Here is a 13732-nt window from a genome sequence, read left to right on the forward strand (position 1 = left end):
GAAAGCTACACCATGGTCCTGGATACGAAAATTCAGCACAGTAAGATATGCGGAATATTTGTAAAAAGAAAATAAATGAATCATTACTGTTATGCATGAACTGGATCTTAAAACCATGATGCTGAGTGAAAATAGAAAGCCACAGAAGAATGTATACGTGATACTAGTATATTAGATTCAAAAACACATAAAATTTAATGATAAAGCAAGTGGAGAAGAAAGAGAAAATTCAGAATTGTGGTTACACAGCATAGAGGATCTCTGACTGAAACGGAATATTCTTTTTTTCTGTTTTTTTTTTTTTTTTTTTTTGAGACAGGGTCTAGCTCTTTCACCCAGGCTGGAGCACAGTGGCACAATCACGGCTCACTGCCCTGATCCTCCACCTGCTGGGCTCAACCATCTTTCTGCCTCAACCTCCTGAGTAGCTGGGACTATAGGCCCACACCACCATACTCGGCTAATTTTACAAGGTCTCACCATGTTGCCCAGGCTGGTCTCGAACTCCTGGGCTCAAGTGAACCTCCTGCTTTGGCCTCACAGAGTGCTGGGATTACAGGCATGAGCCACTGTGCCTGGCCTGGAATATTCTATTTCTTTTTCTTTTTTTTTTTTCGAGACCGAGTTTCGCTCTTATTGCCCAGGCTGGAGTGCAATGGCCCGATCTCGGCTCACCACAACCTCTGCCTCTGGGGTTCAAGCGATTCTCCTGCCTCAGCCTCCCAAGTAGCTGAGATTACAGGCATGTACCACCATGCCCTGCTAATTTTTTTATTTTTAGTAGAGATGGGGTTTCTCCATGTTGGTCAGGCTGGTCTTGAACTCCTGACCTCAGGTGATCCGCCTGTCTCATCCTCCCAAAGTGGTGGGATTACAGGCATGAGCAACCGAGTCCGGCCTGGAATATTCTATTTATTTATTTATTTATTTATTTATTATTTATTTATTTTTTTGAGACGGAGTCTCGCTCTGTCACCAGGCTGGAGTATAGTGGCATGATCTCTGCTCACCGCAGCCTCTGCCTCCTGAGTTCAAGCGATTCTCCTGCCTCAGCCTCCTGAGTAGCTGGGACTACAGGCATCCACCACCACACTCAGCTAATTTTTGTATTTTTAGTAGAGACAGGGTTTCACCATGTTGGCCAGGATAGTCTCGATCTCTTGACCTCGTGATCCGCCTGCCTCAGCCTCCCAAAGTGCTGGGATTACAGGCGTGAGCCACGGCGTCTGGCCTTTATTTTCAGAGTTGGGGTCTTGCTCTGTTGCCCAACCTCAAACTTCTGGCTTCAATCAACCCTCCCACCTTGGCCTCCAAAAGTGTTAGGATTGTAGACATGAGCCACCATGCCTGGCCAGGCTTCTTTTACTCTCATTATATTGTGAGATTCAACTTTGTTGCAAATCACTAGGTTTGTTCATTCTCATTGCTGTCCAGTCTTCTACTCTGTTAAGCATTTATCCATTATATAGTTGTACTTCATATAGTTTTTGGTATGTATGGAATATTTCATCAAAATAATTTTAAAAATAAATAAATTACACATTAAAACTGTAATAACTGCATGAAGATCTGCCTTAGGAGTTTTTGCCGTTCAGAAGGATGAATCAGCCCGTTAGCCTTGTCCCTGAGTAATAATTTAATACACTTATTAGGGTTTCAGGAGAGGTCCGGGGTATGCCAGACAACCACAGGGAAAGTCATTCCAAATCATTTACGGGACACTGACTCGATACACAGTCTTGTGCTGGGTTCTGTGGAGGACCAACATAAAAACTCAAACTCAGTTTCTTCACTCATAGCTGACATTTCTTTTCTTTTCTTTTCTTTTTCTTTTTTTTTTTTTTTTTTTTTTTTTTTGAGATGAAGTCTCGCTCTGTCTCCCAGGCTGGAGTGCAGTAGCACGATCTCGGCTCACTGCAACCTCCACCTCCCGGGTTCAAGCGATTCTGGTGCCTCTCAGCTTCCTAAGTAGCTGGGATTACAGGCACATGTCACCACGCCTGGCTAATTTTTGTATTTTTTGTAGAGACAGGGTTTCGCCATGTTGGCCACGCTGGTCTCGAACTCCTGACCTCAAGTGATCCACCCAACTCATGGCTGACCTTTCTTAGGAGTGAAAGAGACCTCAGAATGTACTTCCAGACTGACAAGAGCTAGACAGGCAGGACCACTTCTCTGCATGGTTTTTTGCATGGAAAGTCTTTATTTGAGCCCCTTAGCTGATGTGGAATCAGAAGAGCAAAAAGGTCATCTTCAGAGTGGCCTGGGCTGGGTCCTTTTCTCTCCAGGATAGAAAAGTGGTGGTCACTTTATCCCTAGTAGACATGCTGCTGGGCTTTATCGCCCCAGCATTCCCATCCCCTCCAGAGCCCCTTGTCACTCCAGACCAGCGAGTGTGGGCCTTTATCTGGACTCTGCTTCCTCCCTGGGGACACCAGGTCTTGGAGCAAGAGAACTTGGCAGGCTCTCCCCATGGCAGTCTTATTCCTCCTCCTGTTCCTATGTGGAACTCCCCAGGCTGCAGGTAAGGGGCAAGAGGTACGGGATTCCTTAGCTATTTGCAAGGTTGGGGAGGGACTACTGCTCTTTCTCCTAGGAGCCTGGCGAAGGCATCTGACTCAAGAAGATAGAATTACCCCAACCAACCTCCTCCTGCCTCTGACACTAGGGAAGACCCAGAGGCAACGAGGGTCCAGGTTATGCAGTTTCCTTTATAAAATAAGAAGAATGAGTAAATGCTTCCAGAAAAGTAGAAATGAGTAGAAGAGATGTGGGCATTTGCCAACTTTCAGCCTTTTCCCTCTTGCCCTCAGACCCCCTCACTGGCTGGGGGAGAGAGGAGGAAAGCCCTTACCCTCTTCTCTCCACCTGTCTTATTTTTGTAGCTGTCACTTGAGAAATGTGGTCACCAGCCAGGCCTGTGCTGGGGGACCCCAGAAGGGAAGGAAGCCAGGGTTGAAGATCAAATGGGGGGTTATTGATCTGATGGAGGTCTCTGGCCTCATACAACCCTCTTCCCACAGACAACATGCAGGCCATCTATGTGGCCTTGGGGGAGGCAGTAGAGCTGCCATGTCCCTCACCACCTACTCTACATGGGGACGAACACCTGTCATGGTTCTGCAGCCCTGCAGCAGGCTCCTTCACCACCCTGGTAGCCCAAGTCCAAGTGGGCAGGCCAGCCCCAGACCCTGGAAAACCAGGAAGGGAATCCAGGCTCAGACTGCTGGGGAACTATTCTTTGTGGTTGGAGGGATCCAAAGAGGAAGATGCCGGGCGGTACTGGTGCGCTGTGCTAGGTCAGCACCACAACTACCAGAACTGGAGGGTGTACGACGTCTTGGTGCTCAAAGGTGAGTGGGGGCATGCAGACCAGGGGCTACTGTGGCCCAGGAAGTCCAGGTGAAGAACTGAGGAATCCCTCTCTCCCCTACAGGATCCCAGTTATCTGCAAGGGCTGCAGATGGATCCCCCTGCAATGTCCTCCTGTGCTCTGTGGTCCCCAGCAGACGCATGGACTCTGTGACCTGGCAGGAAGGGAAGGGTCCCGTGAGGGGCCGTGTTCAGTCCTTCTGGGGCAGTGAGGCTGCCCTGCTCTTGGTGTGTCCTGGGGAGGGGCTTTCTGAGCCCAGGAGCCGAAGACCAAGAATCATCCGCTGCCTCATGACTCACAACAAAGGGGTCAGCTTTAGCCTGGCAGGTAAACTGAGGAAGGAGACGGAAAGGGATGTTCTTTCACTTCAGCCTCCCAAGTAGCTGGAATTACAGGCGCCCGCCACCATGCCTGGATAATTTTTTGTACTTTTAGTAGAGACGAGATTTCACCATTTTGGCCAGGCTGGTATCAACCTCCTGACTTCTAGTGATCTGCCTGCCTCAGTCTCCCAAAGTGCTGGGATTATAGGCATGAGCCACCGCACCTTTAAATTTTTTGTAGAGACAGGATCTTGCTATGTTGCCCAGTCTGGTCTCAAACTACTGGCCTCAAATGATCCTCCTATCTTGGTCTCCCAAAGTGCTGGGGTTACAGGCATGAGCCATCACATCTGGCTATTTTTTCTTGAAAGAAAGGGTGAATTACTATAAAGGGTGTGAGGGGAAAGTGTGGTTATGGCTGGTGGTCTGCTCTGTAGTTGGTTGCCCATGCGTGAGCAGGGGGCATTGCCATTCTCTACTTTTTATTTTATTTTATTTTATTTTATTATTATTAGGCCAGGCATGGTAGCTCAATCCTGTAATCCCAGCACTTTGGGAGGCCGAAGCAGGCGGATCACTTGAGGTTGGGAGTTCAAGACCAGCCTGACTAACATGGAGAAATTCTGTCTCTACTAAAAATACAAAATTAGCCGGGTATGGTGGCACATGCCTCTAACCCCAGCTACTCGGGAGGCTGAGGCAGGAGAATCACTTGAACCTGGGAGGTGGAGGGCGCAGTGAGCCAAGATCACGCCATTGCACTCCAGCCTGGGCAACAAGAGCGAAGCTCTATCTCAAAAAAAAAATTGTATTTTTAGTAGAGACGGGGTTTCACCATGTTGGCCAGGATGGCCTTGATCTCTTGACCTCATGATCTGCCTGCCTCAGTCTCCCAAAGTGTTAGGATTATAGGTGTGAGCCACCACGCCTGGCCTTTTTTTTTTTTTTTTTTTTTTTTTTGGGATGGAGACTTGTTCTGTTGGCCAGGCTGGAATGCAGTGGCACGATCTTGGCTCACTGCAACCTCTGCCTCTTGGGTTCAAGCTATTCTCCCATCTCAGCCTCCTGAGTAGCTGGACTACAGGTGCCTGCCACCACGCCTGGCTAACTTTTGTGTGTGTGTGTGTGTTTTTTTTTGTTTTTTTTTTGAGACAGAGTCTCTCTCTGTCGCCAGGCTGGAGTGCAGTGGCGCAATCCCGGCTCACTGCAACCTCTGACTCCCTGGTTCAAGTGATTCTCCTGCCTCAGCCTCTCGAGTAGCTAGGATTACAGGCATATGCCACCACGTCCAGCTAATTTTTGTATTTTTAGTGGAGCCGGGGTTTCACCATGTTGGCCAGGATAGTCTCAATCTCCTGACCTCGTGATCTGCCCGCCTTGGTCTCCCAAAGTGCTGGGATTACAGGTGTGAGCCACAGCGCCCGGCCTCTTTTTTGTGTTTTTAGTAGAGATGGGGTTTCACCATGTTGGTCAGGCTGGTCTCGACCTCCTGACCTCAGGTGATCCACCCACCTCGGCCTCCCAAAGTGCTGGGATTACAGGTGTGAACCACTGCGCCTGGCCTCAATTTTTATACTTTCAGTAGAGATGAGGTTTCATCATGTTGACCAGGCTGGTCTTGAACTCCTGACCTCAAGTGGTCTGCTCGCCTTGGCCTCCTAATGTGCTGGAATTACAGGCATGAGCCACTGTGCCTGGCCGCCATTCTCTATGGGTCAGGGTGAGAGGCCTGGAAAGGGGCAGAGTAGGGTGGAGGATATTGTGGGCAGGGAAGCTTACAAAGTCTTCTGTTGGAAGAGCCCACCAGACTGTGGAGGGGAAGCCTCTCTTTGGGGCACAGGGACAGGGCCCCTCACTACCTCCCTCCCATCCCTCTGGTCTGGCCCTTACTACAGCCTCCATCGATGCTTCTCCTGCCCTCTGTGCCCCTTCCACGGGCTGGGACATGCCTTGGATTCTGATGCTGCTGCTCACAATGGGCCAGGGAGTTGTCATCCTGGCCCTCAGCATCGTGCTCTGGAGGCAGAGGGTCCGTGGGGCTCCAGGCAGAGGTGAGTCCCTCCCTCCCCGGGGAAAGAAGAGGGCACATGGGTGGGAGGCAAAGGGCTAGGCTCACACCCCGCCTCTGTACCCCACCTCCTCTAGGGGAGGGGGCGAGGAACACGGCTCTAAGTTGTCTGCTGACTTCTCTTCTGTATCCCTGATGGCTCCTTCTCCCCAGATGCCTCGATTCCTCAGTTCAAACCCGAAATCCAGGTCTATGAGAACATCCATTTGGCCCGTCTTGGGTGAGGAACAGCTAGGGAACAGAGGCTTAAATCCTGGAGGGGACTGGGGATGGAGAGGAAACACGGGTTGGGTTGGGGATGGGCCCTCGTTCCTGAGGATGTGAAAAGTAGAGGTATCCTTAATCTGTCTCTCTGGAAAACCCCACAGCCCACCTGCCCACAAGCCCAGGTGATTTTGGTGACATCTGCTGGGAAGTGTGACCTGCTGTCTCGCTGGCCATCTGGCACCTGGAAGATTCCTCGACAACCTTAGCAAGGGGGGCGGGACTGAGAGTTCGACTTCACCATCCAGCTGGCCTCCAGCAGCCACCAAGCTGTGTATGGGGAGGGGTGGGGGACTGAAGGAAAGGAGGAGCATTATTCTGTGATGTAACCTACAAAAAGGTTTGGTCTCCTGTCTTGTAGCAGCAGTGGAGGGATGGCCCTGAGCCCATAGTACTGTGGGGTTGAGGGGAGCCTGAGGTTGCTGGTGGGGGCAAGGAGGATGGGTGTGCACAGGGAGGAGACAGGAATCTGGAGACTTGAGCAATGGTGAGGAATCCATTGCAGTGGAGCTGAAGGACAAATGGGGAAAACGGGGGAAGAGAGAGAAGGGAAGAGACTCAAGTCAGAGAAAGTGGAAAGAGATGGACAGAGGGAGAAAAATAGAAGCACAAAGTGGGAGGATGGAGGGACAGAGAAAATGGAAAGCCTCAACCCATCTCTAAATTAAGCCAGACCCCCACTACCCCATGTCTCATCCTCACAAAGAAGAGAGGGAACAGGCATATTTAATCAACCCCAGACTTCCTCACATGCAAGGGGAGGGAACTGAGTCAGGATAGAGATGCCTGTGCTCAGCTCCCACCCGGGGCCCCCTCCTTATCCTTCCTTATCCTAGGCACACACTCTTCCCTGTGGCGCCTTACCGGGGCATTCAGAGCATGTGAGCAGCTATCGCCACTCTGGCACTTCCTTCCTGCTGCCCTGAGGTCACACCCTATTTCTCGGGGGCAGAGGGAGTGTCTACTCAGGCTGGCAGGCCCAGTGGGGGTATGTTATTTATTGGGCCGGGGCCATGCTGGGATGTCTGTGAACCATGGGCGAGTCTGGGCTGGTGAAGCGAGGGAGGATATTGATGCTCCCAACTTGGCCATTCCCTAGTCTCAGGCAGAAATGAGCTGAGCTCCAGCCACACCCTCACAAGCAGCTCCACTGGGTGCCCTTTTGTGTCTCTGCTCAAGCTTGGGCCTTACTGGAAAAAAGCTTTCTCAGAAGTCTCACCTAAAGGCTTCAGGCTGCAGGGGCTTAAACTAAGCCATTGGCAAGAAAAAGGACGAAAATGACACAGATGGAGAATGAGGGGAGTGCCGTGGTCCAGGTTCCAGCTCCAGCCCAACCCACCAAGCAGCTACAGTTTGCTCTTAGAGCACACACACACAGACACACACACACACACACACACACACACACACACACACTGCAGTATCTGCAGTATTACTGGACTCCTAGATAGACCTTTTATTAAAGGTACTCTTCATAGTCCCCCAAGCCCTCCATCCTGAGTTCCCGACCTACCACATTAGTCTTTCCTAGCAAGACTCTCCTCCTTACCATACCTGATGCTCCTTTGATCCCCTTGCCTGAGATCCACAGTGTCATCAAAATGCCTGCCTTGCCAGTGACCTGGGCTGACACGGGGCATCAGCAATGGGCATCTAGAAAAGACAAAAGACGCAGAATAGGTGTTCTTTATGAGGTTGGACTCTGGGCAGGTGCCTCCCCAGGCCTTGTGAGGGGTCTGTGAGGGGTCTGCTGAGAGATCTGGGGTCTCTGTACAAAATTAGGTTCTCGGGCATGTCTCAAAGTGTCTGTGCAGGTGTTTCCAGGGCCGCAGTGATGGCGGGGGGTATCCTGGGTTGGGGGCTGCAGATCCACGGAAGCTAGTGGAGGAGGTGTCCTCTCCCAGCGAAGCTGGCCACAAAGAGGGGCAGGGAGGCGAGGAGGCTGGTGAGCTGCTGTGGGGAAGCGGCTATGTTGCACAGGTCCTGCTCGCAGCAGTGGTGCCACAGAGTGTAGGAGTGCAGCCAGTAGGTGGCATAGCCTGGCAGAGGGCACTGGGCCCTTGAGAGGCAGCTTTTTCACTCAGTGATCTCACTCTGGTCTGTGGGATGAAAGAGGCATGCTGAGGCGGGGGCCACAGGAAAGGCCGGATGGATGGAGGTAGGGAGCCTCCTGGAGAAGGGCCATTGGACCAGAGTCCTACCTGAAGTGCCAATACTGATGCCACAAGCTTCATCGTCCCGACACTCGGTGGGAACAGGGTGGCAGGGTTTGGTGAAGCCACAGATGTAGCAGCGGAGCCTTCCCCGGGCAGGGGACATGGTGAGACCTGTTGAGGCAGCAGAGATTAGGAGAGCAGGAGAGGCAAACCCTCCCTGTGGGGCAGGCAGAGGCCAGATCCGGAGAGGGATCACAGAGAGAGGTGACACATGAAGCAGAGAGAGGAAAGCTGTGGAATAAGGGAGGAAAGCTGACAGAAGTAGAAAAAATAGCTGGGCGCAGTGGCTCACGCCTGTAATCCCAGCACGTTGGGAGGCCGAGGCGGGCTGATCATGAGGTCAGAAGATTGAGACCATCCTGGCTAACACAGTGAAACCCCGTCTCTACTAAAAATACAAAAAATTAGCCGGGCATGGTGGCACATGCCTCTAGTCCCAGCTACTTGGGAGGCTGAGGCAGGAGAATCTCTTGAATCTGGGTGGCTGAGGTTGCAGTGAGCCGAGATCATGCCACTGCACTCCAGCCTGGGTGACAGAACGAGACTCTGTCTCAAAAAAAAAGAGGGAGACGATGCAGGAAAAGAAACAGAGATGGAGGCAAGAGGGGTACAGGGATTGAGAGATGCGCAGACATGAACAGAAGCCACAAGAATCAGAGACCAACATAAAAAGAGTGAGACAAAAAGCCAGACCCAGCAGCAGGGAAGTTGAGGGGGTCAGTGAAAAAGTTAAGTAAATGGCACCAGAGACAGATAGGAAAATAGAAATTGACATTGACCAAAGGGCCCAGCACAGAAGCAACACGTGAAATAAGGGATAGGGGAGACAGGGGCGGATCAAAGATGCAGCAAGGGGGAGACAGTTATTCTCAAATGCCTTGAAAGGAAACTCTTCCTTTCCCACCTCATCAGGCTGGCCTTCCCAGTGGCTGGTCTCCCTGAAGTCCCCCACTCCCCCAGCTCTCTTCTTGGCCTCTTCCAGCACCCACACCCCTCTCCTCCCCAGCCCTCAGGTTCCTCCACATGCCCTTGTCCCCACCCCCAGCCCCCTGACCACTGAAGGTTCCCCAGCCCACCCTTACCCAGTGCCCCACAGAGGAACAGCACGCAGAGGAAGATGCTGGAGGTGCCCATGGCCAGACACAGGCTCAGGAATCTGGGAGAGGTGATCTGCACCCCGAGATCCCGGGATTTGTAGAGTTGGAGCATTTGAGCAAGACAGTGAGGAACCAGTAAACAAACACACCTAGGGAGTGAATCTGGGGGGCGGAACCATGACCAGATTCACCAGCCTGACCCAGCAGGCAGCGGGGGCCCCCAGCCTGCCCCTGCAAGGAGTCTGCCCTTGCCTGGAGGGTCTCCTCTGCTCTCTCAGCATGTTGTCTCTGTAACTTAGCTTCCTCTCCTGCTCCTGAGTTGTGTCTGTCGCCTTCCCTCCTACTCCTCCCCCTCCCTCCCCATGTCTCAAGCTGCTCCCTGGCTCTCTCAGCTTCTCTCTGTCTTTGTTTTCTCTGTCTTTCCCCCTCAGTGCTTTCATGTCTCTCAAAGTCACCCTCCTAAACAGCCCCGGCGTGGATCTGTTTGAGTGTAGAATCAACAATACCCCCACCCACACACCCACATGCACACACAAAGCCCAGCTGTGTAAGGGCGGACCCCACCCAGCTTCAGATCCCTTTGATCCCCCCAAGCTTCAACATTCCTACCCTGTAATTATCCCTGCCAGCTTTACTACCTTGGAGGAAAGAAATAACCACGGGTGGGGCTGGAGGGCCTGCTGATGTGCTTGCACTGGGGAGAAATCACTAGAAAGGAAGGCATGGATGGGATTTGGGGTAGGGGGGTGGTGATACAGCCTGGAAGGCTGGGGTTGAAGAGACTGGGAAGGAGGAAGGCCCATCTGGGGAATCAGAGCCAGCATGTACCAGGAGGAGTAAGACTAGGAACAGGGAGTGAAGATAGGGGAGACACAGGTGCCCAGGAGAGCAGCTCTTTTCAAAAATATTGATCTCAGGACCTCTTTACACTTTTCAAAGTTACTTAAGACTCTGAAGAGCTTTTCTTTATGAGGTTATATCAATATTTACTACATTAAAAATTAAAACAGAAAATTTAAAGTAGGTATTTATTGATTTATTTAAACAATAAAAATAATAAAGTATTACATGCTAACAAAATACAGTTTTGTGAAAAATAACTATTATTTCTCCACAGCACAGTGAGAAGCTGAGCATTGCTTTACATTTTTGTGAATCTAGTGTCAGGCTTCGTGGGAGATGCCTGGGTTTTCCTATCTGCTTCTGCATTCAGTCTGTTGGGATATGTTGTTTTCGTTGAAGTCCAGTATATGAAGAAAATCTGACCTTACACAGATAGTTGCAAAAGGAGGACCCTCAAGGACCCTGTGAAAGGGTATCAGGGATCCTCAGGGGTTCTTGTTGGTCCACAGACTGCTGCTGAGGATAAAGGAGTTTGAGGACTCCAGAGGATGCTGAGAGCATGCTGTGGGGCCCCTCCCTGTCCCCACTGGGGCCCTTGGTGCCTGCTGGGGGAGACTCTTTCTTCCTTTTTTATAGCCCTATAAAGCTCAAGGCACGGGGGATATAAGGCAGGCAGAGCCGGGCTGGGGAGGGGGGTGGGCAGGAGGTAGAGGCGGTCCTGACACGGGCAGACTGCGATGAAACCCCAGTTTGTTGGGATCTTGCTCAGCTCCCTGCTAGGGGCTGCCTTGGGTAAGGAGGCGGCCAGCTAGCTTCTCACACAGGCCTTCTGCCAGCCGGCTCCACCGAGGGCCCAGGTCCAGCGCCTCTTTTCTCCTGCCAGGAAACCGAATGCGGTGCTACAACTGTGGTGGAAGCCCCAGCAGTTCTTGCAAAGAGGCCGTGACCACCTGTGGCGAGGGCAGACCCCAGCCAGGCCTGGAACAGATCAAGCTACCTGGAAACCGTGAGTCCTCAGTTTCTCCCTCTTCCAGCAGCCTTTCCCTGCCTCCAGCCCCATGTCAATCCTTCTGGCTTCCAGAACCCTCCAGGCTCAGTCTGGCTCTGGGCAGATGGTGCAGCTGTTAGAGGAGAGCAGTCTGTACCCCTTCTGGCTCCTGGCACGGAGCCCCTGAGAGGCCCACAGTCCTTGTGCCCCCACTTCCCCACCTCCTTATTCTCCTAAAAGAATCTCATAGGCCCATTAGCTCACAAATGAAGAGCTCTGGCCCTGAAAGGCCAAAGTTAAAACCAAACTTCAAATTTTCGGCATTAGTTAAGGACCAGGGAGGGGTGTGTGTGTGTGTGTGTGTGTGTGTGTGTGTGTGTGTGTACATGTTTTTAATATTTTATTTTAACATAATTTTGGATTGACAGAAAAGTTGCAGAAATACTCAACTTCTCCTAATGCTAACATCTTACATAACCATAGCACAATTATCAAAATCACAAAATAACTGATACAATACTACTAACTAATCTACAGACTTTATTTGATTTAGCAAGATCCTACATTGCATTTAGCTCTCATGTCTTCTTAGTCTCCTCTGATCTGTGCCAGTTCTGTTTTTCTTTGTCTTTCATGACCCTGACACATTTGAAGAGCCCTGATAAATTATTTTATACCTGGAGTTTAAAAAATTACTTTTAGGGCCAGTGCAGTCACTCGCACCTGTAATCCCAGCACTTTAGGAGGCCAAGGTGGGAGGACCACTTGAGCCCAAGAGTTGAGACCAGCCTGGGCAACATAGGGAGACCCTGTCTCTACAAAAAACAAACAAACAAACAAACAAACAGATTAAAAAATTAGTTGGGTGTGGTGGCACATGCTTGTAGTCCTAGCTACTCAGGGGGCTGAAGAGGGAGGATCGCTTGAGCCTGGGAGATTGAAGCTACAATGAGCCATGATCACGCCACTACACTCCAGCCTGGGGAACAAAATGAGACCCTGTCTCAAAAATAATAATAATAATAATTTTTAGGCTAGGCTTGGTGGCACACACTTGTAATCCCAGCACTTTGGGAGGCCAAGGCTGAAGAGTCACCTGAGGTCAGGAGTTTGACACCAGCCTGGGCAGCAAAGTGAGACCCCCATCTCTACAAAAAATGTTTTTAAAAAATTAGCCAGGCATAGTGGCACACACCTGTAATCTCAGTTTCCTGAGAGGCTGAGGCAGGAGGATTACTTGAGCCCAGGAGTTTGAGGCTATAGGGAGGTATGATTGCACCACCACACTCCAGCCTGAGTGAGAGAGCAAGATCTTTTCTCTAAAATTAAATAAAATCATTTTTAGATTAAACAAAAATTACGTGCCGGATGCAGTGGCTCACGCCTGTAATCCCAGCACTTTGGGAGGCCAAGGCGGGTGGATAACCTGAGGTCGGGAGTTCAAGACCAGCCTGATCAATGTGGAGAAATCTCGTCTCTACTAAAAATACAAAATTAGCCGGGTGTAGTGGTGCCCGCCTGTAATACCAGCTACTCGGGAACCTGAGGCAGGAGAATTGCTTGAACCCAAGAGGTGGAGGTCGCGGTGAGCCGAGATCACACCATTGCACTCCAGCTGGGCAATAAGAGTGAAACTCCGTCTCAAAAAAAAAAAAAAAATTACAGATACTTGAAATACTAAAAATTATTTTATAGAATGTCCCTCGATATTTATTTATCTGATATTTGCCATGATGAGATTGAGGTCATGCATTTTAAGCAAGAATACTGCAGAAGTGATGTTGCATCCTTCTTGCTGCATCACATCAGGAGTTTACAAGGTCAATGCATTAACTTTGATCACTTGGTTTCAGGGAGGTGTTTTTTGAGGGGGCTGAAAATCCCTTTGGGCTCCTTGAAATCACATCTGCTCTGCCCCAGAAGGCAAGTCCTGAAGCCAGGAGTCCAACACCCCAGTTTCATTCTCTCTCTCAGCCCCAGTGACCTTGATTCACCAACATCCAGCCTGCGTCGCAGCCCATCATTGCAATCAAGTGGAGACAGAGTCGGTGGGAGACGTGACTTATCCAGCCCACAGGGACTGCTACCTGGGAGACCTGTGCAACAGCGCCGTGGCAAGCCATGTGGCCCCTGCAGGCATTTTGGCTGCAGCAGCTACCGCCCTGACCTGTCTCTTGCCAGGACTGTGGAGCGGATAGGGGGAGTAGGAGTAGAGAAGGGAACAAGGGAGCAAGGGAACAAGGGACATCTGAACATCTAATGTGAGAAGAGAAACATCCTTCTGTGAGTCATTAAAATCTATGAACCACTCTACAGCTGACTGGAAAATTACATCTATCTTTGGTTGATGGGAGGGCTAAAAGCGTAATATGGGGCATCCAGGTTCTAGTTTGGGGGTTACCAAGCAACAGCGGGCTTAATTACAGTGGTGCACTCCTTAACCAACTAAACCCCAAAGGGCAATGGCTTATCTGCCTTCTGTGGCTCCTGGATCCTGTTGCTGGGTTGAATCTTCCTTAGCAATGAGATTCATTGAGTGGGGTTGCCAGGGTTTTGTGAG

At 50.7% G+C, this 13732-nt stretch overlaps 3 protein-coding genes and 1 pseudogene across 5 annotated transcripts, besides 1 other annotated feature; 3 read left to right on the forward strand and 1 right to left on the reverse strand.

The window, feature by feature from the left end:
• Window positions 1–2431: 2431 nt before the first annotated feature.
• On the forward strand, window positions 2432–6245 carry LY6G6F (lymphocyte antigen 6 family member G6F). Its single transcript, NM_001003693.3, has 6 exons — window positions 2432–2524; window positions 3024–3353; window positions 3437–3700; window positions 5592–5747; window positions 5918–5984; window positions 6133–6245. The coding sequence occupies exons 1-6, from the start codon at window positions 2473–2475 to the stop codon at window positions 6155–6157; spliced, it is 894 nt and encodes a 297-aa protein (NP_001003693.1). The 5' UTR covers window positions 2432–2472; the 3' UTR covers window positions 6158–6245.
• LY6G6F-LY6G6D (LY6G6F-LY6G6D readthrough) lies at window positions 2432–13485 on the forward strand. Its single transcript, NM_001353334.2, has 6 exons — window positions 2432–2524; window positions 3024–3353; window positions 3437–3700; window positions 5592–5747; window positions 11068–11190; window positions 13147–13485. The coding sequence occupies exons 1-6, from the start codon at window positions 2473–2475 to the stop codon at window positions 13368–13370; spliced, it is 1149 nt and encodes a 382-aa protein (NP_001340263.1). The 5' UTR covers window positions 2432–2472; the 3' UTR covers window positions 13371–13485.
• On the reverse strand, window positions 7542–9631 carry LY6G6E (lymphocyte antigen 6 family member G6E (pseudogene); annotated as a pseudogene). Of its 2 annotated transcripts, none has more exons than NR_024541.1 (3): window positions 9327–9631; window positions 8230–8355; window positions 7542–7681 (listed from the first exon to the last, which is right to left on the reverse strand). The product of NR_024541.1 is annotated as a lymphocyte antigen 6 family member G6E (pseudogene), transcript variant 1 (transcript). The 2 variants fall into 2 exon arrangements; NR_003673.3 differs by lacking the exon at window positions 7542–7681 and adding an exon at window positions 7907–8127.
• Window positions 8864–9647: an enhancer, noted in NCBI's record as "H3K27ac-H3K4me1 hESC enhancer chr6:31681075-31681858 (GRCh37/hg19 assembly coordinates)". NCBI's record gives its function as "activates a minimal SCP1, AML or CMV promoter by ChIP-STARR-seq in primed H9 embryonic stem cells {active_cell/tissue: H9 hESC(primed)}" and the evidence as "EXISTENCE:reporter gene assay evidence [ECO:0000049][PMID:30033119]".
• Window positions 10914–13485, forward strand: LY6G6D (lymphocyte antigen 6 family member G6D). Its single transcript, NM_021246.4, has 3 exons — window positions 10914–10976; window positions 11068–11190; window positions 13147–13485. Exons 1-3 carry the CDS (start codon window positions 10922–10924, stop codon window positions 13368–13370), a joined length of 402 nt encoding a protein of 133 aa, NP_067069.2. The 5' UTR covers window positions 10914–10921; the 3' UTR covers window positions 13371–13485.
• Window positions 13486–13732: the final 247 nt, after the last annotated feature.

This window comes from Homo sapiens, chromosome 6, assembly GCF_000001405.40.
Source record: "Homo sapiens chromosome 6, GRCh38.p14 Primary Assembly".
Classification (NCBI taxonomy): Eukaryota; Metazoa; Chordata; class Mammalia; order Primates; family Hominidae; genus Homo; species Homo sapiens.

Coding starts and splice junctions, on each gene's coding strand:
- LY6G6D (NM_021246.4), top strand. CDS start 10,922: ATGAAACCCCAGTTTGTTGGGATCTTGCTCAGCTCCCTGCTAGGGGCT. Junction 10,977..11,067: donor CCTGCTAGGGGCTGCCTTGG/GTAAGGAGGCGG, acceptor TTCTCCTGCCAG/GAAACCGAATGCGGTGCTAC. Junction 11,191..13,146: donor GATCAAGCTACCTGGAAACC/GTGAGTCCTCAG, acceptor TCTCTCTCTCAG/CCCCAGTGACCTTGATTCAC.
- LY6G6F (NM_001003693.3), top strand. CDS start 2,473: ATGGCAGTCTTATTCCTCCTCCTGTTCCTATGTGGAACTCCCCAGGCT. Junction 2,525..3,023: donor TGGAACTCCCCAGGCTGCAG/GTAAGGGGCAAG, acceptor CTCTTCCCACAG/ACAACATGCAGGCCATCTAT. Junction 5,985..6,132: donor ATCCATTTGGCCCGTCTTGG/GTGAGGAACAGC, acceptor AAAACCCCACAG/CCCACCTGCCCACAAGCCCA.
- LY6G6F-LY6G6D (NM_001353334.2), top strand. CDS start 2,473: ATGGCAGTCTTATTCCTCCTCCTGTTCCTATGTGGAACTCCCCAGGCT. Junction 2,525..3,023: donor TGGAACTCCCCAGGCTGCAG/GTAAGGGGCAAG, acceptor CTCTTCCCACAG/ACAACATGCAGGCCATCTAT. Junction 3,354..3,436: donor CGACGTCTTGGTGCTCAAAG/GTGAGTGGGGGC, acceptor TCTCCCCTACAG/GATCCCAGTTATCTGCAAGG.